The sequence below is a fragment of the Homo sapiens genome, chromosome 5, assembly GCF_000001405.40.
Source record: "Homo sapiens chromosome 5, GRCh38.p14 Primary Assembly".
NCBI classification, from domain to species: Eukaryota; Metazoa; Chordata; class Mammalia; order Primates; family Hominidae; genus Homo; species Homo sapiens.
Window position 1 is genome coordinate 75583268 of NC_000005.10, and position 26734 is coordinate 75610001.

The 26734-nt window shown below is 36.7% G+C and overlaps 1 protein-coding gene across 29 annotated transcripts in view, besides 1 other annotated feature; it reads left to right on the forward strand.

Annotated features, from left to right (window-relative positions):
• The window catches only part of POLK (DNA polymerase kappa), a 99218-nt gene extending 72494 nt beyond the window's left edge, over nt 1-26724 (forward strand). For 21 of the 29 annotated variants that reach the window (XM_054328411.1, XM_054328417.1, XM_054328410.1 and 18 more), the window contains 8 exons: nt 26-150; nt 1493-1659; nt 3759-3791; nt 7077-7173; nt 10611-10782; nt 12955-13911; nt 14480-14522; nt 14667-26724. In XM_054328411.1, coding sequence (XP_054184386.1) covers nt 26-150; nt 1493-1659; nt 3759-3791; nt 7077-7173; nt 10611-10782; nt 12955-13911; nt 14480-14522; nt 14667-14751 — 1679 coding nt within the window. In that variant the 3' untranslated portion in view covers nt 14752-26724. The other 8 variants (NR_170559.3, NR_144315.3, XR_008485566.1 and 5 more) reach the window with 6 other exon arrangements.
• Nucleotides 5364-5948: an enhancer, noted in NCBI's record as "OCT4-NANOG hESC enhancer chr5:74884456-74885040 (GRCh37/hg19 assembly coordinates)". NCBI's record gives its function as "activates a minimal SCP1, AML or CMV promoter by ChIP-STARR-seq in naive H9 embryonic stem cells {active_cell/tissue: H9 hESC(naive)}" and the evidence as "EXISTENCE:reporter gene assay evidence [ECO:0000049][PMID:30033119]".

Genomic DNA, 26734 nt, shown 5'->3' on the forward strand with positions numbered 1-26734 from the left:
GTCATCAGAGTATTCTTCTTTTAAGGCATTGCCCCAAATACAATGTTAGCAAAAGTATGCAGTGATAAGAATAAACCAAATGGACAATACCAAATTCTTCCCAATAGACAAGCTGTGATGGACTTCATCAAGGATTTACCCATTAGAAAGGTAAGATTTTTACATAAAGTTTATTTATATATGTACTCTGAATTCTGAAGAGATACTGTGTAGGCCAATAGTTAATCATTCTTTGCTTAAAAGTTTTAAAATAATAGATAAAAGCAAGAACTATAATGGATGATTGAATTTGGACTTGAAGAAACCTTTCTATGAAACCATAAAAGTGAGATTTAGCTTATTTGCTATAAACTTTTAAGAAAGTAATAATCAGATTTTTAAGTGAACTACTGCCAAGGAGAAGGGAAATTAAAAGAATATTTCTAACAGTCCTTTCATCTGTAACTTAGTGCTATCTTAGTTCTAAAGTCCAGATTGCTACTAGATTAATGGGCATGATGCTTCAAAGAGATTTAGAATTTTAATTGTTTTTGACAGAGAATAAACCAAAATATTTTGCCATTTTTAAAATGGTAAAATTATCCCTCAGGGGTTCCAGAAAGTGTATACTTTATTATTTTTTAGAGCTTCTAGATTTTTCTGCATATATACACTATTTTTTCAGTAATTGCACTATGCACTACTGTATATGATGTTCTAGGACTTGCTTTTCTCATTCAACATAATGTACATGAATGAATTTAAATATTTTTCAATGCTCAGTATGTAATATGTAATGATTACTGACTAGTATATGTGAGGAGTAGCTGCAAAGCAGTGTTTTCCAATATGTTTTTCAAGTATGGATAGATATTCCCTTTAAAAAGGTTCTGGGGTCAGATACCTTTGGAATGTACCATTGATGTGTCACTATGCATATTAATATATTAAAAATTCATAAATCTTGGAATAAAAAGTTTCACTTAAATTTGTCAATCCCACCATTCCCCAAGTTTATATGACAACAGCACTCCTTTTTTAATGCCTTTTGAAATTCCATGAAACGCTAGTTTAGTAAATGTGGTCAAAAAGTAATTAAAGCAGTTTTCTTGCATGACTTGTGAAGATAGTCACATTATTCATACCTTTTATCGATGATAAAAGATATAATGAGCACTTTGGGAGGCCAGGGTGGGCGGATCACCTAAGGTCAGGAGTTCAAGACCAGCCTGACCAATAAGAAGAAACCCCATCTCTACTAAAAATACAAAATTAGCCGGGTATGGTGGCGCATGTCTGTAATCCCAGCTGCTCAGGAGGCTAAGGCAGGAGAATCGCTTGAACAACCCAGGAGGTGGAGGTTGTGGGGAGCCAACTTGGCACCACTGTACTCCAGCTTGGGCAACAAGAGCGAGACTCCATCTCAAAAAAAAAAAAAGTGTAATGAGGTTGTAATCTCAATTTTTAGCTTCACTTTAAAATCTATTAATAATAAATATTGATTCTTTTCTAGGTTTCTGGAATAGGAAAAGTTACAGAGAAAATGTTAAAGGCCCTTGGAATTATTACATGTACAGAACTTTACCAACAGAGGGCATTGCTTTCTCTCCTTTTCTCTGAAACATCTTGGCATTATTTCCTTCATATCTCCTTGGGTCTAGGTTCAACACACCTGACGAGGTATCTATATGTATTGTCATTCTGCTTTTTCTTCAGCATTTGCTGCAATATCAGTTTTAACCATTGAGATGAGGCTATATGGATAACATGTTTTAAAATTCTTTCAGGCTAGTTTAATTCAAAATATAATGTTTGAATTAGAGTCAACAGATTGGATGTAGGAGGAAAGAAAAGAAGAATAAAGAATCACTCCTAGGTTGTGGTGTCAGCAGTTGTGTAGAGAGACAAGAGGAATGATAGTTTCTTTTTTATCCCTACCTTGTTCTTTGTTCAGAACCTAAGAGAAATGCCAGTAGTCAGGTTGTTGTGGAAAGAAAGATGGCCGTATTCCATAATTCACCCTTTAAGGAAGGAGATGTAATGATTCTTCGAAAGCCTTAAACTACATTTCTTTTCTTTTCCGGATTCATTCATTCAGTACTGACTACTTTACTTTGTGTTAGGCACTATTCTAGGCACTGTAGATAACAGCAGCGAATAGGACAAATTCCTGCCCTCATGGAGTTTACAGACTAGTGTGAGAGATAGAAAATAACCAAATAAACAAATGAAGAAAGTAAAGCAGAGTGAGGGTATAGAAAATGACTGGGGGGTAAGTGTGAGGGTTAGCAACCATCATCCAAAGGCGGAGAGACCTGAGGGAGCCAGCCATGCAAAGGCTGGAAGAGGGAACAGGTGGAGGAAATACCCTGGGTTTTCTTCCCTGCCACTCTTTCATCTAGGTCTTAAAAAGAGGAACCCTAGAGGTAGAAGGTAAATTGTTGTGGGATAGTAGGTGAAAAGAAGGAAATTTTAAAAGACTGGGAATCGTGGAAGTCAACTCTGGGCACTATTTTTACAATTTTGTCATCACCTTGTCAGCCTGTCCTCAAAATGACTCCTTTATATTCTTGTATTTAAACTAAAGGACAACAATAGAAATCAATGAGGATGCATATAAAATTGATGGACTAATTAAGCCTACTAAATTTTACAGAGATTGCAAGGCTTGTTGTGTTGCTTTTCTCATCTCTTCCTGCTCTTCAATCTTTTGAGTCCACAGTTAGCTGACTTTGATCTTCAGTGGGCATAATGAAAGATGAAGATATCACAGCACTATAAATAATTATATTTGAAGATAGCAGGAAATAAAACTTTATTTTTAATCCAAAAATTTTTTTATTTCCATAGTGCTTGAAAACAATATAGTTCTGATGTAACATAACATATATTAACTTGTGGTATTTAGAGATCCAGGTAAGGCTTTTACATGCAATTCATAGGTAATTTATAATAACAAATACCAAACCTGCCTTTCCCTCTGTCCATATTCTCTATTCCCCTATTCTGCTTTGCTTTTTAATCTGAGTACTTCTCCCATTCTAATCCATTCCATATTTACTACTATATTTGTTATCTGTCTTTCTCCAATATATAAGTTTTCTGAGGGCAAGTACTTGGTCTATTTCCTTCATTACTATATCCTCAAGTTCTAGAACAGTGCTTGAATCATAATAGGTTCACTAAATATTTGGAAAATGAGTACTCTACATGTCATTTCAACTTTTTGGTTTTAACTAATCCTGTCAGAGCAGCTAGAATACAGCCAAACTAGGTGATTCAGATTCCCAATCTTCATCCTATAGCTGTGTACCAAATTCTGACTGAGGTTCTATTATAGAGTGGTATAAATGAATAATGAATAGGCTATGGGAGAAAGAAGTTAATATACTAAACCAAAAACTAGATAACTGATTTTAAATTATTTAACATTTAATTATATTTTGTAACTGGAAGATATTACGCTATCACTTCCTATTTGTTTTTATAAGTTGTGGTTTTTGATAGTCAGGTTTTTAATAGAAGCAATTTCTAATATCTACCTATTTTCAAGTTTGTTCTCTTCAATAGATATAGACTTGATTCATAATCATATTAGCATCTTACCTACCTATGTTCTTTGGTGATTTGTTTTTAGATAAAAAACTGTTTTTCATGATGTATAAATTTTAATAAAAAATTTGAGAGCTCTAAAAGGTAATTGATAATGTTAAATCCTCTTGGTTAACTAAAAAAAACTCAGTCTTTGAAAAATAAAGACCTTTTTTTTTCATTTCAAGGGATGGAGAGAGGAAAAGTATGAGCGTTGAGAGGTAATGTTTTATTATTTATTGTTAATTGTGCATAATTCATGTTATTTTAAACTAATATTGAATTAATTTTTAGTAAATATCACTGAAATAAGAAATCTATTTGCAAATTACTATAACAGTTTTTAGTAGTTTACACTCCCTGCAATAAATGCCTTAGTATAAGACTATTATTTTCAGTTGCTATAATCTCAAAAATTAACTTCAGCTATTTTTTAATGTTGGTTTTAATCCTACCTAGTGAAAACCAAGCATTTTAGAATTTCATATCTTAATTTCTAGCTTGTTTATAAGGACAATTGAGTATTTACTTCGGAAATTTAAGAAGTAACAATGGGAATTCTTCCTAAAATTCTTTCAACATTGGTGATTAAGCAGAAGCTTAATCAAACAGTAAAATATTACTGATAAAAGAGAGCTTAAAGATGATCTAGTTTAGTGGTTTACAATCCTGTTTGAAAACCAAATGAAATAATGATGGAAACTTACCGTTTGGGGAAATAAGTCATTGTTTGAAACATCCCTCAATTATCTCCTCAAAGCAGCAAGTTTCCACTGAGACATTTAAGAAACACTGACCTAGGGCCCGGCAAGGTGGCTCACCCCTGTAATCCCAGCATTTTGGGAGGCTGAGGTGGGCAGATCACTTGAGGCCAGGAGTTCGAGACCAGCCTGGCCAACATGGCAAAACCCTGACTCTACTAAAAATACAAAAATCAGCCCGGTGTGGTCGCTTAAACTTTAATCCCAGCTACTTGGGTGGCTGAGGCACAAGAATTGAACCCAGGAGGTGGAGTTTGCAGTAAGCTGAGATGGCACCACTCACTCCACTCCAGCCTAGGTGACAGAGTGAGACTCTGTCTCAAAATCAAAACAAGACAAAACAAAACACTGACCTAGTACAAGATTGTGTTCATATTTCACATATATTATTTGTGGTCAGAAAAGCTGATTAACTTTTACAATACAACATAATAAATGGCTTTGATAAAAATTGCTATTTTAGGTTTTGGTCCATATGAAAGCAATCAAAGAGAGAGAGAAAAAAAAAATCCAAAAGCAAAATAGTATTGCCATATTTGATAAATTTCTCTGCCATTTTCTCTGCTATTGGGAAAACTATTTTATGTACAGGAATGTGTTCTCCACTTTTTTTTTCTGGAAACTTTCTCCCCTTGGCTTTCTAAAATGGGCAATATAACATCAAATTTGGTATGAAGTTGGGGGAAAGGAGGTTGCAATTTATATCACAAACTAACTAACTTCTCTAATATAGAAAGAACTCATAATCAATAAAAAGGAACAGTAAGCCAACAGAAGAAATGAACAAAGTTCTAAATAATTAACAGAAAAGGAAATACAAATGGCTCTTAAAACAAGTGAAATTACTACCATTTTCATTTATAATTAAAGAAATACAGATTGAAAGTTCTCTCAGATACCTTTCTTTCACTAGTCAGGTTGGCAAAGATTCTAACATACTCTATTGGCAAGACTGTAGGAGTGAAAAATGTGTAAACTTTAGAGGGAGTACATTAGGTTTTTTTATTGCTATTAAAACAAATTTCTACAAATTTAGTGGCTCAAAACAAAACAAATTTATTCTCTATCATTCTGAAAGTCAGCGGTTCTAAAGTTAATGTGTTGGTAGAGTTCCATTTCTTCTAGAAGCTCTGGGAGAGAGTCCATTTCTTTATGAAAAGCTTCTAGAGGCCACAGAATCTTTGGCTCATAGCCTCAGCAACTTCTTTCTCTGACTCTAACCCTCCTGCCTCCTTCTTATAAGGACCCTTGGGATTACGTTGGGCACAGCTGGACATTCCAGAGTAATCTCTGTCCGTCAGAATTTAATCACCTCTGCTAAATCCCTTTTGTCATGTAAGATACTAGGTTCACAGATTCCAGGGATTAGGATGTGGACATCTTTAGGGACCATTATCTAGCCTACCACAGGGGGTAAGAAATTTCATAATATGTATCAAAATCACAGATACACATGTACTTTGATGCCATAATTCTTTTACTAAGAATTAATTCCACAGATTTAGTCACATGTCATTTTACATATATACAGGGTTACTCACTGCATTTTTTATGATAGAAAAAAACTGTAATATCCATGAATAGAGAATTGGTTAAATTACCTTACATCATTAAATTAGAATATTATGCTGCTGTATAAAAATGAGGAAATCATTTACTCATGGGGAACTCTCACCATGATAAATTGAGAAAAGCAGGGTACTAAACAATGTATCTAAAATTCTACTGTTTATATAAAAAATGAGAGGAAAATGTCTTCTTGTTTGCTTATTTTATATATATACACACATACACACACACACACACACACACACACACACACACACACACACACACACACGTGGAATATTTCTTTTTTTTGTTTGTTTTTGAGAGGGAGTCTCGCTCTGTCGCCCAGGCTGGAGTGCAGTGGTGCGATCTCGGTTCACTGCAAGCTCCGCCTCCTGGGTTCTCGCCATTCTCCTGCCTCAGCTTCCCGAGTAGCTGGGACTACAGGCGCCCGTATACGTGGAATATTTCTAAGGAATTCATAAGAATAAGAAGCTGACACATTGGTTGCCACTAGGGAAGAGAACTGAGTAGCTGAGGATAAGGTTAGAAGTAGAAAGGGGACTCTTTACTGAAGAGTCACTTGCTCAGGGTCCATACTCATCATTCTGGTCTCTTTGTATTATCCTCTTTTAAGTTAATATCACTTGTCAACTTCTTTCAACACTTTTTTGCAGATGAATTCAAAATACCTACATTTAATCTTATCAGCCTTCTATTTTCAGCTGTCTATTAAACAACTCTGCGTAGGTTCCATGAGCCAACCCCTTAAATCTACTTAAAGATGTTTCTCATCCATAAAATCCATGTGCAGTAATTGGAATGATGTTCTCATTTGGACTTTCTTAAGATAATCTTCTGTAATAAAGTCTATATATACATATACCCTAATCTGTTTTAAGTTCTGGAGGCATTACCATTATCTGTTGGTAATTTTAATTATCTTTTTTGTGATATAATAGAGCAAGAGCATAAAATTGTTTCTTTGCTAATCAAGCTTTCCTGTTTAGGTGGGTTTCCATTATTTATATAGATCTTAGATGTTTTTACTTAATTAAATTTTAGTTCATCTGAAAACTTTATTTTGTAATACAGAAAAATATAACTTAATGCTAGCCATATAAACATGCATACCATTTCCAAATTATCCTGGATTATAGTTTACTTTGTGCGCCAAAATTATTCTTGTCTTTCTAGGACATTCAGTGAGATAAATAAAGCGGAAGAGCAATACAGCCTATGTCAAGAACTTTGCAGTGAGCTTGCTCAGGATCTACAGAAAGAAAGACTTAAGGTGCTTTATTTTGATATGGTGTCCTTAGTTTTTAAGTTTTTTAATAGTAAAATGCTACCTTAAAAGCTAGAGTTAGATTACACATTTCTTAAAGATGAATACAAATTAATAAACGTCAGAATAGTGTATTCCTATCCCCAACAGTCAGATACAAATCCAATTCTGACCCATATCTGGAGTCTGTGATGAGGTGATTCTATGAAGAAGCACCTTATGAGAATAGAGTGGTTCAGTATAATTCAGAGGACTTTACTTCTGTACCTCAGGAGTACATTTGAATAAGTTAAAACCAAAGTTACACTGGCATTAGAGAATAAGGCAAAAGAAAGGATTTCCAGAGAATTGTATTCACATATTACAAATGTCTTTCCAATCATCCTTTAATGTTTTTCTTACTTAGACAATGACCTTCTAAAATAGGCATTTTGTTTCAAGGTTGTAGTCCAGGTTGCTTAACACAGGACAACAAAACCTATAAGGCTTTGAACTTGCTATTTTATAATCTTCACTCACAACAATTTATATTTAGTGTATTCCCAACACTCTCAAACCAGAGGTAGAGTCAGTACAAAGCGTAATAAAAAGGTATTTTAAAATTGCTACACAGGTACAAATATCTGGTTTGATAGAAGAAATAAGACCTAGTGTTCAATAGATCAGTAAGGTGACTATAGTGTACAGTAATCTGTGTTACATACCAGAATAGCTAGAAGAGAATAATTTGAATGTTTCTCGCATAAAGAAAATACAAATATTTAAGGTGATAGATATCCGAAGTACACTTATTTGATCTTTACAAAGATCAAAACTATGAGGTACATGTGATAATTTACTATGTTCATATAATGCATCAGTAAAACTATTATGCTAATCAGTAAAAAATTTGTTTTAAAAAAATTACTACAAAGAGTGGAATATCTGATGAGTATCTTTCTCTATCATACCTTGAATTTAAAGAATTTTCTTTTTAAAAAATATTTAAATAAACATTTAATTTTATGATCATTTTAGATTTCCAGAAAAGTCACAAAAATAATAGAATTTCAGCATACTCCTCACCTGGTTTCCTCCATTATTAACATATTACCAGAGTACATTTGTCAAAAATAAGAAACTGACATTTAATACATTGTCAATTATTAACCCCAGACTTTATTTGGAGTTTACTTATTTTTCCATTAATGTCGTCTCTGCCTTCCAGAATTCAGTCCAGGGGACTACATTGCATTTAGCTGTCATGTCTCTCCAGTTTCCTGGTCTGTGATAGTTTCTTAGTTTTTCCTTCTTTTTCATGACCTTGACAGTGTTGGGTAGTACTATACAGGTATTCTGCAGAATGTCGCCCAATTTGGGTTTGTCTGATGATTTTCTCATGATTAGATCAGGGTTATGGATTTTTAGAAAGAGTATCACAAAGAGGAAGTGTCCTTCTCATAACATCCTATCATGGGGTGTATAATAGCCACATGATGTCATGGTTGATATTAACCTTCATCACTTGGTTAGTGTTTGCTAGGCTTCTCCACTGTGAAGTTAGTGTTTTTCCCTTTGGAAGTAAGTCAGTAAATCTAACTACCCTCAGATGAGAGAGAGCAGGAATTAACTTCCTCCTCCAGGGGATACTAAAATATACATAACATAAAATTTACATTTTAACCATTTTTAAGTGTACAGTTCATATTGTTTTATAACCATCACCACCACCCATCTCTAGAACTGTTTCATTGTCTCCACTGAAACCCTGCACTCATAAAACACTAAGTGTAAAGGGAATTCTTACATTAAATTGTTTGGCATAGCATCTGGCAATGCAGAAGGCACACAATAAGTGTGAACTATTCATAAGTCGTTTTCAGTGAGACACTTTTAGAAAGATTTTTTTCCTTCCTTTGTAGGTAATTAATCAACCTCCAAAAGAGATTCAGTAAAAATAAAAGTGATCATTTAACCTTTCCCTCTTGTAATGGTCTTTTATAAAAATTCAGTTGGGGGGCCAGGCACGGTGGCTCATTCCTGTAATCCCAGCTCTTTGGGAGGCCAAGGCAGGGGGATCACCTGAGGTCAGGAGTTTGAGACCAGCCTGGCCAACATGGTGAAACCCCATCACTACTAAAAATGGTGGCGGGCACCTGTAATCCCAGCTACTCTGGAGGCTGAGGCTGGAGAATCACTTGAACCTGGGAGGCAGAGGCTGCAGTGAGCCAAGATCCCGCCACTGCACTCCAGCCTGGGCATCAGAGTGAGACTCTGTCTAAAACAACAAAAAAAAAAACAAACAAAAAAATTCAGTTGGGAAGGGGAATAAAAATTACTGGCTAAAATGGGATTTTAGGTCAGGCATAGTGGCTCATGCCTGTAATCCCAGCACATTGGGAAGCTGAGGCCAGAGGATTGCTTGAGCCCAGGAGTTCAAGACCAGCCTGGACAACATAGCAAAATCACGTCTCTACAAAGAAAATGTAAAAATTAGCTGGGCATGGTGGCACGAGTGTGTAGTCCCAGCTACTTGGGAGGCTGAGGTAGGAGGATAGCATGAGCCTGGGAGGTCAAAGCTGCAGTGAGCCACGATCATGCCACTGTACTCCAGCCTGGGCAATAGAATGGGACCCCCATCTCAAAAACAAAATAAAATGGGATTTTAGCTTATGTTTGGAAAGGGAAGTAAACGTTTTTGGCTAAAATGGTATTTTAATTATTCTTTTTTTTTCTGAGACAGAGTCTTGCCCTGTCACACAGGCTGGAGTGCAATGGTGTGATCTCGGCTCAATGCAACCTCCATCTCCTGGCTTCAATCTATTCTCCTGCCTCAGCCTCCCCAGCCGCTGGGATTACAGGTGCCTGCCATCACGCTCAGCTAATTTTTGTATTTTTATTAGAGACAGGGTTTCACCATGTTGGCCAGGCTGGTCTTGAACTCCTGACCTCGTGATCCGCCCGCCCAAAATGCTGGGATTACAGGCGTGAGCCACTGCAGCCGGCCTCTTATTCTTTATGATATGTTTATCACCATGTTTTATAAATAATTGGTTATAATTCCATATTCTTATGTCCGTAAACCTTTCTGAATTTTTCTAACATGTAAATGACTTTTTTCTAGAAGTTAGGAAGTCATACAGAATAATGTATTCTGGTTGGGTGCAGTAGCTCATGCCTATAATCCCAACACTTTGGGAGGCCAGGATCGCTTGTGGCCAGGAATTTGAGACTAGCCTGGGTAACATAGTGAGACTCTGATTCTACAAAAAAATAAAAAATTAGCTGGTGTACTGGCACGCACTTGTAATCTTAGCTACTCAGGAGGCTGAGGCAAGAGGATTGCTTGAACCCAGAAGTTGAAGGCTGCAGTGAGCTACAGCTGTGCCAGCGCACTCCAGCATGGACAACAGAGAGAGACCCTGTCTCATAAATAAATAAATAACATATTGTATATGTTATAGGGTAGAACTGTTACCATTAAGTTGAAGAATGTGAATTTTGAAGTAAAAACTCGTGCATCTACAGTTTCATCTGTTGTTTCTACTGCAGAAGAAATATTTGCCATTGCTAAGGAATTGCTAAAAACAGAAATTGATGCTGATTTTCCACATCCCTTGAGATTAAGGCTTATGGGTATGACTTTTTCATTTTTTTGTTTTTCCTTAAATCTGCTAGATTTTCCCAAATAATCAACTTTGGGAATACAGGGGGCCCCCAACTTAACAATGGTTCAACTTAATGATTTTTCAACTTTGCGACAGTGGGAAAGCTGTATGCTTTCAGTACACTCTTGACTTACAAGGTGGTTACATCCCGATAAACCCATCATAAATTGAAAGTATTGTAAATTGACTTATTATGTTTTCAATTTACAGCGGGTTTATCTGGATACAATCCTACTGTAACTCAATGAGCACCTGTATTCTCGCCTTCATTTTATTTCTTAAACCTGTTTACGAAGTTCTTCCTTTGCTGCTGCCATTTGTCTTAGTTATTAGACCCTGATGTGTGAAGCCATGATCATTAGTTTAATTCCAGTAAGGGTCAATTAAAGTTGTTATTTTCCTTATAACTTAATGAAATTCTTGTGGCCAGGTGTGTTTCAAAATTCAAAACTTTTCAGATTTTAGAAAGCAAATTCAGTGCATGTAGAGTATATTACGTTGTAATACTTCTTTGTGGATCTGGGGCAACACCCCCTGTTCAAACACATTAATATTTCTGTAGCAAAACAAAATATTCAGAGACTGTAAAGACTGATGACATTAATTTAGTCATCAGGTATCACTTGTTGCTTACAATTTTCAGAACTTTTTGGATTTTGGAATTACAGATAAAGGATTGTGACATTGTGAAATCACATCTCCAGCCACTACATGGTAAAAAGTAACAAGCCATGTTTCCAAAGTGTACTGGTTGAAAGTATATATGTGGATCACCACTCCAAATGCACATTTTACTAGTAAGGAGTGGGTCACTAGCCATAATTTTATTTATGAAAGATATAGCACACACTGAAATCAACTGAATAAAGTGTTAATTGAAAGAGCCAGGCTGGGCGCGGTGGCTCACGCCTGTAATCTCAACACTTTGGGAGGCCAAGGCAGGTGGATTGCCTGAGGTCAGGAGTTCAAGACCAGCCTGGCCAACATAGTGAAACTGCATCTCTACAAAAACTACAAAAAATTAGCTGGACATGGTGGCGGGCACCTGTAATCCCAGCTACTTGAGAGGCTGAGGCAGGAGAATCGCTTGAACCCGGGAAGTTGCAGTGAGCTGAGATCACGCTGTTGCACTCCAGCCTGGGCAACAAGAGTGAAACTCCACCTCAGAAAAAAAAAAAAAAAAAAAAAAAAAGCCCAAGAGCAGATATCTATAGAAGCTTAATTCATAATTGCCAAAACTTTGAAGCAAGCACGATGTCCTTCGGTACGTGAATGGATAAATAAACTGTGGTACATACAGACAGTGGAATAATATTCAGCACAGAAAATAAATGAATTATCAATTCATGAAAAGACACGAATGAAACTTAACTGCATAATGTTAAGTAAAAGAAGCCAGTCTGAAAAAGCTAAATACTGTGTGATTCCAACCATATGAGATTCTGGAAAAGGCAAATATGAGTACCATAAAAAATAATTGATTGTCAGGAGTTAAGAGGGGCAGGAGGTATAAATAGGCAAAACACAGGAATTTTAGGGCAATGAAATGATTCCGTATGATTCTATAATGACACGTCATTATAAATTTGTCCAGCGCCCAGGATGTATTCCAAGGGTGAACCCTATGTAAGCTATGGACTTTGAGTGACAATGTTGTGGCAGTGTAGGTTTATAGATTGTAACAAATGTACCACTCTAGTGCCACATGTTGATAGTTGGGGTGGTGGAGGGGTGTGCATGTGTAGGGAAAGGGGATCTTTGGGAACTCATTGTACCTTCTGCTCAATTTTGCTGTGAACCTAAAATTCCTCTAAAAAATAAAGTCTATTAGAAAAAAAAGAGCTAAAGAGTCTGTATAGTTGACTCCAGTTAGTTACTGGTATTAATTTAATGGTATTATGTGTCACATATGAATTAAAATCCTACATCATTATACTAACTCCAAATAGTTAATATTTAATGATATTCTTTTATAAAGGAAGGTAAATCTGTACTTATAATACCAGCTTTGAAATGTTACTTATAGTTTCTCTCTAGCCAACCTTTTGTATATGTCATAGCACTAGACAAAATGTTTTTATGCATTGTGAGTGAATTGGCTTTGTTCAATTTGAAATTGATTGTGATTGGTTTAATTTAGGTGTTCGGATATCTAGTTTTCCCAATGAAGAGGACAGGAAACACCAACAAAGGAGCATTATTGGCTTTTTACAGGCTGGAAACCAAGCCCTGTCAGCCACTGAGTGTACATTAGAGAAAACTGACAAAGATAAGTTTGTAAAACCTCTAGAAATGTCTCATAAGAAGAGTTTCTTTGATAAAAAACGATCAGAAAGGAAATGGAGTCACCAAGATACATTTAAATGTGAAGCCGTGAATAAACAAAGTTTCCAGACATCACAACCATTCCAAGTTTTAAAGAAGAAGATGAATGAGAATTTGGAAATATCAGAGAATTCAGATGACTGTCAGATACTTACCTGTCCTGTTTGCTTTAGGGCTCAAGGGTGCATCAGTCTGGAAGCCTTGAATAAACATGTAGATGAATGTCTTGATGGACCTTCAATCAGTGAAAACTTTAAAATGTTCTCGTGTTCACATGTTTCTGCTACCAAAGTTAACAAGAAAGAAAATGTTCCTGCTTCTTCACTTTGTGAGAAGCAAGATTATGAAGCCCATCCAAAAATTAAAGAAATATCTTCAGTAGATTGTATAGCTTTAGTAGATACTATAGATAACTCATCTAAAGCAGAAAGCATAGATGCTTTAAGTAATAAGCATAGCAAGGAAGAATGTTCTAGTCTCCCAAGCAAGTCTTTTAATATTGAACACTGTCATCAGAATTCTTCTTCTACTGTTTCATTGGAAAACGAAGATGTTGGATCATTTAGACAAGAATACCGCCAGCCTTACTTATGTGAAGTGAAAACAGGCCAAGCTCTAGTTTGTCCTGTTTGTAACGTAGAACAAAAGACTTCAGATCTAACCCTGTTCAATGTGCATGTGGATGTTTGCTTAAATAAAAGTTTTATCCAAGAATTAAGAAAGGATAAATTTAACCCAGTTAATCAACCCAAAGAAAGCTCCAGAAGTACTGGTAAGTGTGTAATTGTTTTAAACTGCATGATTTTCTAGGAATATGTATTATTAAAATTAATGAGATTGTTGTTAAATCTGAAACATATACTATTAAATGGGTAGTTTGTGTATGCCGCCATTTAGGGAAATGTTGGTTACATTGCCATAGGTTAGAATTAACTCAAGCCTGTAGATTGTGAATTTGGGGAAAACTTTGGTTTGATCTTGATTTAGCACAGAATGAACTCAAAGGTTTAAGGAGCTGAGTGATCTAATCAAACAAATTCCTTCAGAGAACATCTGTGAAGGCACAGTGGTAAATTAACTATAACTGCATAACTAGAAAGCCTCTTTAACTTATTTTTTGGTAGTGCTGACTCTACCCAAATTTCACCAATAAAATTAAGTGTAATGCTAATAAAATTAGTAAATTACAAAGAAATTATAGTTTTTGGTGTGTTTACATATGAACTATATAGTACTAAGGAAGTTTAATCAATAAGTTTTAACTTTTTAAATTTGTATACAACTTTTTAATTATTTCATATTATTCATTATGGAATTTCTTGACTTTCTTTCCTCTAAAGGTAGCTCAAGTGGAGTACAGAAGGCTGTAACAAGAACAAAAAGGTATGGCTAATTTGAGCTTTAATAAAGCTGGCTACAATATGAAAATTCAATTATTTTATAAATTATTAAGTAATCAATATTAAAAATGAATTATTTTCTAGAATCTCTTCCTGCATTTTAATTGTGTGTTCCTTTTCATTCTAGGCCAGGATTGATGACAAAGTACTCAACATCAAAGAAAATAAAACCAAACAATCCCAAACATACCCTTGATATATTTTTTAAGTAAACATTGAACATTTTATCATTAATTTTTAATTGAAACTAGTTATTTTATAATCAATGAATTTGTTCTTTCTGATTTTAAGTTTGCAGATTTATTTAGTGAAGGCAAGTGCAATAATCCTTCCTCAGATGATGTTTGCTTTTCTAAGATACATATACTGATTCTGTGTATCTTTTTTATAACCATGAGAATTTTACTTCCATTATACATCAATTGGAAATCAATCCTGTTAAGAGATAATTCTTAAAAGGGAAATTAGGAATGGGATAAGAAGGTGATTTTTTTATTATTTTTATACTGAATATAAAAACATTTGTAAGGGCTCTCAAAGATTCACACATGCCTATATTATCATAAGAATTTTTCAGCACTTAACTACTTTGTTGGCATTGATCCTAGTGTCTTTAAATACTTCATGAGCATTCATAATTAAAATTTATCTTAAGTTCTATGAAGAGTATTAATGTAACTAGCATAAGTGGTTTTCTTCAGGAAAATAAATATCACAGTATTATCTGTGTTAAAATGGTTTTTGCCTAAAATATAATTTTTAATTTGGCTTTTCTTATTTAAAATTCCATTATCTTATGAATAAGCACTTGAATCAGTTTTTAAAATATTTAGTCTAAGATGATTCAAAGTAGTTTTATTTTAATACAGGACTTTTAAATGGCAGTATTTCATTTCTTGTCAATTATGTTGGTACTTTCCACAAATCTATAAAGAAGGATAAATTGTACCATCATTTTATTATAATCCTCAAGAGAAAATGTGTAATTCAAAAGATTAATGTGTATTAAAACACATTATGTATCTTAGTTACATTTCTATCAGTACTTTTATTAATATTTGTGAAAGAAGACAGCTTAATAGTAGTTAGCTTAAGTAGTTTCTCCAAGTACTTTTGTGCTATCAATGAGTTCTTCTCAAAAAATAATTAGTTAGGCCAGGCACAATGGCTCACACCTGTAATGCCAGCCCTTTGGGAGGCCGAATGGGCAGATCACTTGAGGTCAGGAGTTTGAGACCAGCCTCGCCAACATGGTGAGACCCTGTCTCTACTAAAACGATAAAAAAAAAAAAAAAATTAGCCAGGCTTGGTGGCACACGCCTGTAATCCCAGCTACTCAGATGGCTGAGGCAGGAGAACTACTTGAACCTGGGAGGTCAAAGCTGCAGTCAGCCAAGATCTTGCCACTGTACTCCAGCCTGAAGAGCGAGACTCTGTCTCAATAATATAATAATAGTTATTATTTAATTGCAACATGAAGTTGGAAGCCATTTTCTGTTACTTCTTTAAGGAGCTAAATCTTTTATATTTTTGTTTTCTCTCCCCTTGCGTTTCATATTTTAGCTTATGATCTAAATATATATTTTGTATATTATAATATTTTAGGAATAGCTTAATTAAGAACTCACAGACTTTGACAAAGTGGTAACTAGACTTTTAATTACTAGATTCTTCAAATTAGGCTTAATGCCTGCTAGCATGCCAATCCAATCCCATGACTGATGTTATTATACACTATGGCAAATACAAAGTTGTAGTATTATGGTTCTTGATGGTGTGATTTACTTATGTAAATTATGTACAAATTTAAGTTCAATGAAACACTGATTTAATGTACTGAAAGGTAAATAGTACCATAGTGAATTATTTTCTGTCTTGCCTTAGGTTTATTTTTATTATCTTCAATATTAGAATAAATGCTAAATTATTTTCATTTAAGGATTTATGTAGTTGAATATTATCATTTAGTAATATTTAATCATTTGAAATAAAATTTAAAGCTTTAATTGATCTAATAGAGATGGTTTTCTACTTTTCCACTCTTCCTCCCTCTTATGCCTTCACTTTTGTTTTCTGTGCCCAGAATTTTCTTCACATTCTTTACTACCTGTTTTGTCTATTATATCCAACCCATTTTCTTTTTATTATAATTTTGATTTGGGGCATTTGAAGAAAATACAGCAAAACTACAAGAACTGGTAATAAGCATGCATAATCTCACCTACTTAGTGAACCTAATATAAACCTAATATAAAGAACCACCGTATTTGCAATATATATAACTGGTGAAAAACTAGTGTCCAGAATATATAAATGATCCCTATGAATCAGTAAGAAAAAGACAGTCAATAGAAATTTGGACAAAAGACTTTATATGGCATTTCAAGTGAAAGGAAATCCAGATGACCAAGAAACATGAAAATATTCCCAGCCATATTAATATTTGAGAAGTAAAAAATAAAACTACAAGGAGGTATTACATCTTTACCTTATTTGCAAAAATGAAATGATCTAATGATACTAAGTTTTGGTGATGATGTCAGCTCTTACATTGAAAACAATCACTGTGGAAAAATTTGTCCCTCAGTAAATTTAAAGATAAACATGCTCAAAACCTAGCAATTGCACTCTGAAGTATACATCTTTGCAGGTTATCTTTCATTACAGTTATTTTTTTCCCTGTCAGGACCCTAACTAATACAATGCCTTGGGAAAACTAATGAACATGTATCCTAGGAAGCATGTACAAGAAAGTTCTTCCCAGTCAGGAAGGTGGCCAAGAAAAAAATTTTTTAATGTTCATAGCAGCACTGCAATATCCAAAAGTTAGAAATGAACCAAATATTCAGCAATGGTAGAATGGTTAAATTGTACCATGGCATTTATATTGAAACAGTAGAATTCTACACAGTGGTGAAAATGAAGGAAATAGCTAACCACAACATAGATGAATATCACAGACATAGCATAGAGCAAAAGAAGCAAATCACAGAAGGATGCCATCAACATGATTCCATTTGTATAAAGTTTAAAACAGTATAAACTGAACAACTATATTGTTTTAAGGGTATATAGTTATATATATGAGATACAACTGTAAAGAAAAGCAAGTGTTTTGCTGTCCCCAGAACCAGAATAATGATTTCCTCTGTGGAGAAGTACAGCAGTGTGATTGGGGAGTGGCACCTGGTGCTTCTGGGATGCTGGCAATGTTCTATTTCTTGTCTTGGGTGGTGATTGCATGGATGTTCACTTTTAAAATACTCTTTATACATATATATTTTATATATTCTTGTTCATATATAACCTTTATAATAAAGAGAAAAAAATGGCAAAAACTGCTTTCGTTAACAAGATGATATTTTCCTCCAACTCTGCAGGCTAGCTAATTTCAATCGAGAAAAAAATACATTTTTTTCTTCTAGAACCTTGCTGAACACAGCAAGAAAGAGCCATCCCATGCAAAATTTTTAGTTTTTCTCCTAGCATTTCCCCTAAGGCTACAGCCTCAATCAGTATTTGGTCTTCTTTCCAAAGACAGCTGTTGACAGTTAGACCAAATATTTTTTTGCCGTTTGTGATGGTTAATATTGAGTGTCAACTTGATTGGATTAAATGATGCAAAATATTGTTCCTGGGTGTGTCTGTGAGGGTATTGCCAAAGAAGATTAACATTTGAGTCAGTGGGCTCAAGAAGCAGATCCACCCTCAATCTGGTTGTGCACCATCTAATCAACTGCCAGCATAGCTAGGATAAAAGCAGGCAGAGGAAGGTGGAAGGACTACACTGGCTAAGTCTTCTGGCCTCCGTCTTTCTCCTGTGCTGCATGTCTTCTGCCCTTGAACATCAGACTCCAAGTTCTTCAGCTTTTGGACTCTTGGACTTCCACCAGTGATTTGCCAGGGACTATCAGGCCTTCAGCCACAGACTGAAGGGCTGCACCATCTGCTTGTCTGCTTTTGAGGTTTTGGGACTCAGACTGGCTTCCTGGCTTCTCAGCTTGCAGACTGTGGGACTTCACCTTGTGATTGTGTGAGTCAATTTTCCTAAGAAACTCCCCTTCATATATACATCTATTAGTTCTGTCCCTCTAGAGGACCCTAATACACCACCAAACAAGTCACCAGTTTTCCAGTCTGTGGTATTTGTGTCCCCACTCCCTAAATTCTTCTCTCCAACCCTAAGTCAATTTGTTATATTAGGCTTTGTTATTTGCAGTACCCTATTTCTGTATCAGTTCAGTCACAAGCTTCCTGGTGCCTCTTCCTTGTTGAGTCACATGGGGACATGCTTAATTCTCCCAGAAATGTGTGACAGCATGTGCAAAATATTGCCAACCAAGGAAGCTCAACCAATCCTTGGTGTCCAAGGTGTTTACTGGAAGTCAGTCACATAGGCATGCATCACCCATGTGACTGACCTTACCCGTTGAGTCTCAAGACCCCAGGGGTGTAGTGATACCTCATGGCCCAGGGCTTCAGCCATTCAAAAACAGACATTCGCCATGATTCATACTGTTAGCATAAACTATCTCGTCAAACTAACAAAATGCAGCCCAAGGCCTCAGGCATACTAGAACACTATTATCAAACTGGAAATTCCACGAGCTCAGGTCATTTCCCAGGAGCTAGTCAAGGAAGGGCCAGTACGTGAAGACACCTCTCTTTGAAAAGTGCAGGGCTGGAGTAACCTGAGGCTGCTAGGTTAACCCTTTACTGCATTAATGTCAAATTATTAGAATTGTATTCAAATAAAATATAAAAAAGAAAGATCACTTAGAGTAACTTTTTCCTGCCTCACTTGAATAATGCAGAGACACTTCAAATTCGTAACATGTTTAGGGGGTCTCAAGGAGGATGGGCTATGCGTTTTGAATATATGCATATAAAACAACAAATGACATAGGCCTAATAATTTCTTTGCATGTGTATAATCCTCTCTTCAATGTAATTCAAAGGTCTCTTTTTTAATATCAGTCTTTACATTGTCCCTGTAATATAGAGCTATACACCTTTCCTCAATCTTTTGTGATAGTAGGAAAAGTAGCATTATAAGAAGTATTTATAAATTTAATTCACTCCACCAGAAATGTTTTATTTTAAAGTTAGCATGGGACTTGTGGTATCCGCAAGGTCAGTGTCCCCACTGAAGAAGTGGCCTTCTAGAGTAAGAAGTTTCAGCATCAACATGGGTAATGGAAGCCATATAACAGAACTTAAGAAGGAACTTTGTGCTAAGAAAATGTAGACAGTGGTTATAGGCATATATGTAAGAAGGCTGTAAGTTAAAGGCAAGAGAGATGTAGCAATTAATAGGAGATATTTTTTCTGCCATCATTAACAAATGTATTTGTTTACTACTCCTTACTTTTTAACTCATCCACCTTGTATCCACTGCTACCTCTGCCAACCCTGTATCTGTTACTGAATTCTGTCTACTCTTGTAGGGCCTCTTGAAAATGAAAATATCCATTTGTTTCCATCTCTTTTGTCAAGCCCTTATCAGTTGTCTAAACTCTTGACTTTCCAACTGATTTGTCAGTTTTCCCTGCTCTAAACCATCTTATGCATTTTTTACAGATTAGCTATAAACAGCATTCCCATAATAGCACTCTCATGTCAAAAAAAAAAAAAAAGCAGTTTTCAAAAGCTCTCAACTGTCTCCAAGATTTAGCAGTGGAATGAGTAGGAAAAGGGAGTGATTTTTAGTGTATGATTATTTATGTGGTGTAAATGCTCCCACCATGACAGATTTCAAGTTATGTGATGTCAGCCAGTTCACAAAATTCCTGAAACTTTAACAGCTCTTGCAAGCCAATACAAGCTAGCTCCTATATATCACTGTCCATGATGCACTCTAAACACTGGCTTGGCATTCAGGGTTTCCTGAACAGACCAAGCTGTTTCTCCTTTCTGGCATCTGTGCTCCATTGTTCCCTCTGCCCAGAATATGCTTCCTGAATGCCCCTTTTCTCTCTCCCACCTACATAATTACTCATCTTTCAACTCAGCTCAAGGGCCACCTTCAGAAAAGTGTTCCTTGCCCTCTGGAAAAATTGATCAGTCACTATTTTTTGCTCCTGTTTCCCTACAAAGACCCTGAAACATTCTTTGCATGGCCCCCGATGTTGGTTTCTCCCTACCAGATTGTAGGCCCCAAGAGATCCTGGGCTATCTTTCACTTATCTCTGAATTCCAAGTATGAAGTGTATGGCCTGGCACACAGTAGATACGGAGAGTCATTTGTTGACATGTAAATGAATAAATAGTATGTGTCCAAAAGTGTTTACTACTATCTTATTGTTTTTATCTGGGAAGACAGAATGGTGGCTAAGGGCTGCTGTCACACTGGGTCCTAAAGAGTGGACATTCCAGAAAGAGACAATTGCATTTATTTCCCTTTATTAGATAATGGCTTGCTTTATACATGTTTTATTATTATACTGTGTCGTTTTGGAGTGGCTTGGGAGTATTTGGAAGAAGGCTTAAAATATGACTATTAACCTGGGGCTAAAAAAAACTGTTTTTGAGGAAATATTTCATTTAAAAAAATCATACCTGGTGTACCTGGTGCTGAACTGTTGTTTTTAGAGACAAGGTCTCACCGTCACCCAGGCTGAAATACATTGTCATGATCATAACTCACTGCAGCCTGGAACTCTTGGGATCAAGATCCTCTCATCGCAGCTTCCCAAGTAGCTGGGACTACAGGCTGGTGCCATGATGCCCAGCTAAGTTTTTGTATTTTTTTGTTGAGATAGGATCTTGCTATGTGGCCTAGATTGGTCTTGAACTCCTGGCTTCAAGCATTCCTCCTTCCTCAGTCTCCCAAAGCTCTGGGATTAACAGGCATCAGCCACCATGCCTGGCCCTGGTACTGAATTTTCTTTGAAGTAAGGTTCCATTTTGAAAAGCAGTGATATATTTGAACACACTTTGTGTTGGTAGGATTTTAGTAAACCTCACAGAGAGGTGATGCTTATTTCCCTGGAGAAAAAACTGTTCTTTAATTGTATAATTAAGGACTAATCGCTTTTGCTTTGTAATACATAACTGAATTAAGTTGTTCAAGAAAAACTCAAATGACATCATGGTGACTATTGGCAACATGATTCCATTTATTAAGCAAACCATAATATTGAACTGTTCCCCTTACCAGTACGAGGTAATTGTGATAGTCTTACTTTGTAACTGCTGCTGTCTACAGAATGCTCAGGGAGATTAAAGATAATTCAGAGGCAAATGGTACTAACCCTTCTAACCTCAGCCTGTAAAGTGTAGTATGATTTCAAACTCTTTCCTGTATACACATACACACACACACACACACACACACACACACACACACACACTACCTCTGCCAACCACATACCTATCATTGAGTTCTGTCTACTCTTGTAGGGCCTCTTGAAAACACTTCTTTCCATTTCTTTTATCAGGTTCTTATCAGTTGTCTAATATCTGGCCTTCTAACTCATTGCTTAGCTTTCACCAGTTTCTTTCCCTGCTTTAGATCATCTTGTGCATTTTTGTAGACAATACTTTCCTAATATCACTCATGGTCTTGGGTGTCTATGGAGAGAGTGAGAGAGAGAGAGATTCCCTAAATTGGAGACAAAAAGGAAAAAAAAGTTGGGTCACTTCTAGGATCAAATCTAGTTCTCTTTTATGAAGGCTCAAAAGTTTTTTCCCTCTCAGAATATGCTAAACTTCAAATGTGATCTCTGAAACCATCCGCAAGTCTGAGATACGCCATGGTTTTTTGGGTTTTGCTAGCAATTCTGGGCAGAGATCCTGGTTGTCCTTCAACATTCTACTTTTCTGCCATATTATTAGAATTTTAGCTTGGCACATGATCACCCAGAATAGACTAATGTATTTCATCAATTCTTTATAAACCACTAAGAAATAATACCTAAGATAGGGAGTCTAACAGGTTACCACTGCATAAATATGGGACACCAAGGTTTATACCTTCAGAGCAAGGATAAAGGAGAAATCTTCCATGAAGAAAGAGGGAGCAAAGTGTAGGGGTGGGTTGCCCCTACACACCTGTGGGTGTTTCTCGTAAGGTGGGACGAGAGATTTGGAAAAGAAAAAGACACAGAGACAAAGTATAGAGAAAGAAATAAGGGGAACCGGGGAACCAGCGTTCAGCATATGGAGGATCCCGCCAGCCTCTGAGTTCCCTTAGTATTTATTGATCATCTGTGGGTGTTTCTCAAAGAGGGGGATGTGTCAGGGTCACAAGACAATTGTGGGGAGAGGGTCAGCAGACAAACACGTGAACAAAGGTCTTGGCATCATAGACAATGTAAAGGATTAAGTGCTGTGCTTTTAGATATGCATACACATAAACATCTCAGTGCTTTACAAAGCAGTATTGCTGCCCGCAGGTCCCACCTCCAGCCCTAAGGCGGTTTTTCCCTATCTCAGTAGATGGAGCATACAATCGGGTTTTATACCGAGACATTCCATTGCCCAGGGACAGGCAGGAGACAGATGCCTTCCTCTTGTCTCAACTGCAAGAGGCATTCCTTCCTCTTTTACTAATCCTCCTCAGCACAGACCCTTTACGGGTGTCGGGCTGGGGGACGGTCAGGTCTTTCCCTTCCCACGAGGCCATATTTCAGACTATCACATGGGGAGAAACCTTGGACAATACCTGGCTTTCCTAGGCAGAGGTCCCTGCGGCCTTCCGCAGTTTTTGTGTCCCTGGGTACTTGAGATTAGGGAGTGGTGATGACTCTTAAGGAGCATGCTGCCTTCAAGCATCTGTTTAACAAAGCACATCCTGCACCGCCCTTAATCCATTCAACTCTGAGTTGACACAGCACATGTTTCAGAGAGCACGGGGTTGGGGGTAAGGTCACAGAATCTCAAGGCAGAAGAATTTTTCTTAGTACATAACAAAATGGAGTCTCCTATGTCTACTTCTTTCTACACAGACACAGTAACAATCTGATCTCTCTTGCTTTTCCCCACAGCAAAGCAATTTGCATGCTCAGCCTTGGCACTGGTTGGAAGGAGGGACTGCCAGTGAGAATTTGAACCATAAACCAGTACACATGTAGGCTTGTAATCTGAATTCACACAAATGGTATCATCCTAAAGAGCTCAAGCAGAAAATGTAATTAAAGTGAGGTTAGTATTGCCCCTAGTGACTGGCAGAAGCATATGCAAATCCTCTATGGAAGAACTCAACTTCAATTCAGGCAGACAACTTAGTATCTCAATTAAAAAGATGTGATAATGTGAAAAATAGGTGTTACAGAATTGATGACTACAATGTATCTCCCATCCTTGAAGCTCACACCCTCCCAGCTAGGGGTAGCCATGTGACTGAGTTTTGACTAATGGGATATAAAAGGAAGTACTGGCCGGGTGCGGTGTCTCACGCCTGTAATCTCAGCACTTTGGGAGGCCAAGGCGGGTGGATCACCTGAGGTCAGGAGTTCGAGACCAGCCTGGCCAAGATGGTGAAACCCCGTCTCTACTCAAAATACAAAAAAGTAGCTGGGCGTGGTGGCACACACTTGTGATCCCAGCTACTCAGGAGGCTGAGGCAAGAGAATCGCTTGAACCCGGGAGACGGAGGTTGCAGTGAGCTGAGATTGCACCACTGCACTCCAACCTGGGTGACAAAGCGAGACCTTGTCTCAAAAAAAAAAAAAAAAAAAGGAAGTACTGTGTGTGGTTGCTTCTGGGAACCTTCCTTTCTTGCAGCTGTAGCATTCTGTTTGCCTCTTCTTTCTATTTCTCTGTTCCATCCTGCTGCCTGGAAGCAGATGCTGCCGTTTACACCTGAACATAAGGGTTGCACAGGGGGATGGTAGAGTAGTGGGCTGCAGGGGCTGATTCTTGGGGCTTTGTAAAACAGAGACATATCAGCACTGGCCTGCACACTTTGAGACTTTCACAAGAAACAAATTAAAAAATTGTTTAAGCCATAGTTACTTGGGTTTTCCTATTAATTATAGCTGAATCCTAGCTGATAAAGGACATAAAGATTATTAAGACATGTTTGTCCTCAAAAAATGGAGAGCCACCCCAGGGACAGTTTCTATTCAATGTAGGGAGGGCTATAATAGATGAATATACAAAGTGGGAGTCTAGGGAGAAATCGTCTGGTAGAGGAGGGCAAAGAGAAATCTAGGAAGATGTTTTTAAAAATATGGAATCCTTGAACAGGACCTGGTTTTAAAGGTTTACTTCAGAATTGAACATATTTTTTTAGTCTAGACCTTTAGGGGAAAAACTTAAAGCTTTCAGGACTCAAAGACAAGTTACTGTTCCCATGGCTAAATTGCATTCCATATTTATTTGACAAATACTTATTGCAGGTCGGGTACTGTTTTAGCCACTGGAGATGCAGTAAGAAACTTAATTAATTTTTTTTTTTTTTGAGACAGAGTCTTGCTCTGTCACCCAGGTTGGAATGCAGTGACATGATAACAGCTTGCTGCAGCCTTGACCTCCGTGGCTCAGGCCATACTCCCATCTCAGCTTCCCAAGTAGCTAAGACTACAGGTCTGCCCCACCACCACCAGCTAATTTTTAAATTTTTTGTGGAGACTGGAGTCTCACTAAGTTGCCCAGGTTGGCCTCAAACTCCTGGCCTCAAGCCATCCTCCCACTTCGGCCTCTCAAATTGCTGGGATTATAGGCATGAGACACCACGCCTGGCCCAACAAAGTTTTAAAAATCACTGTATTTATGAAGTTTACATTCTAGTTGTGGAAACCGACACTAAACAAATAGACATTTCAGTGGTAAGTGTTACAAAGGAAAGAGACAACAGCATAAGGGAATGGAACATGAAGGTAGGGGACACTTTTAGAATAAGATGATCCGAGAAGGCTCCTCTGAGGAAGTGACATTTAACCTGAAACCTTAATGATACGAAGGATCAAAACTATTTTAAAAATTCGGAAGTGGAGGTGGGGGAGAGAAGTTCTAGGCAAAGGGAGGAAATAGAAGCTGATGGCTCTCCACCAGGAAACAGTGGATGAAGAATGGAGAAGAATTGTAGGGCCCAAGATCAGAGAGATGAGTAGGGCCAGATCATGTGGGCAAGCTTTTATGTATTAGCACGCTTAGAATTAATATTCTGCTTGAGAACTAACCTGATATTTGAAACAGAGTGAAAAAGAAAATACCTCCCACAGTATACTTCATAGCTTCTTATTTAGCCCAAGCTGTCAGGGAAATAAAGTCCAGCTATGGCTAAGTTTCACATAATGCACTGCTTTGGAGTTTTTGTCTCATCTGTTAGAGTAAGATAAGTACCACATACTATTATAAGGCTATATAGCATAAAATGATGATGCATTTTCTCCTGTCATTGATAAGAGGATTTTTTTAAAAGTAAATTTCTTGGTTTAGAATTTGAAAGCAGTTTCAAACTTGGATAACACAATTCAGATCTTTTTTTAAAATTATTTTTTATTTATATTAAAAAAAAATTTTTTTTTTGAGATAGGGTCTGGCTCTATCACGCAGACTGGCACACAGTGGCACAATCTTGGCTCATTGCAACCTCTGCCTCCCAGGCTGAAGCCATCCTCCCACCTCAGCCTCCCAAGTAGCTGGGACTACAGGCATGCACCACCATGCCTGGCTAATTTTTGTAGAGAGGGGGTCTCACTTTGTTACCCAGACTGGGAGATTTTTCTGTACTTGGCTGTATGCTTTCCATTGATCTGCTGCTGTTTTCACTATTATTCCTTCTTTTGTGTGGGTATTTTCTTTTGATTTTTAGAATTTTACTTGTAAACATGCTACATATACATATAATTTGGTGCCCTGTTTTTCCATTTACATATTATACTTTCCATATTAGTACATTGTCTGATATTTCTGCATAATACTCAATTCAACTTACCTGCTATTGTTTTTATCATATCTCTATTACAAACATTAGGCCCATTTCCCTTTTTTAAAAGAGGAAAGTTTGAGGTTATGGGCGGTGTTCTGATAAAATAAATAATATTTTGTCATGTTTGTTTTTTCATTGATTAGGAAACATTGTTTTGAATTTAATGCCTCAAATTTGGTGCACAATAATTTGAAGGGAAAAACTGACAAGTTTGAAATGAACATTGATATTACATAATTTACATTAAAATGATACATCTTTTGTAAATTTGTAAGAAGAATAAATAAATGAAAACCTGATTACCTTTCTTATTTGAA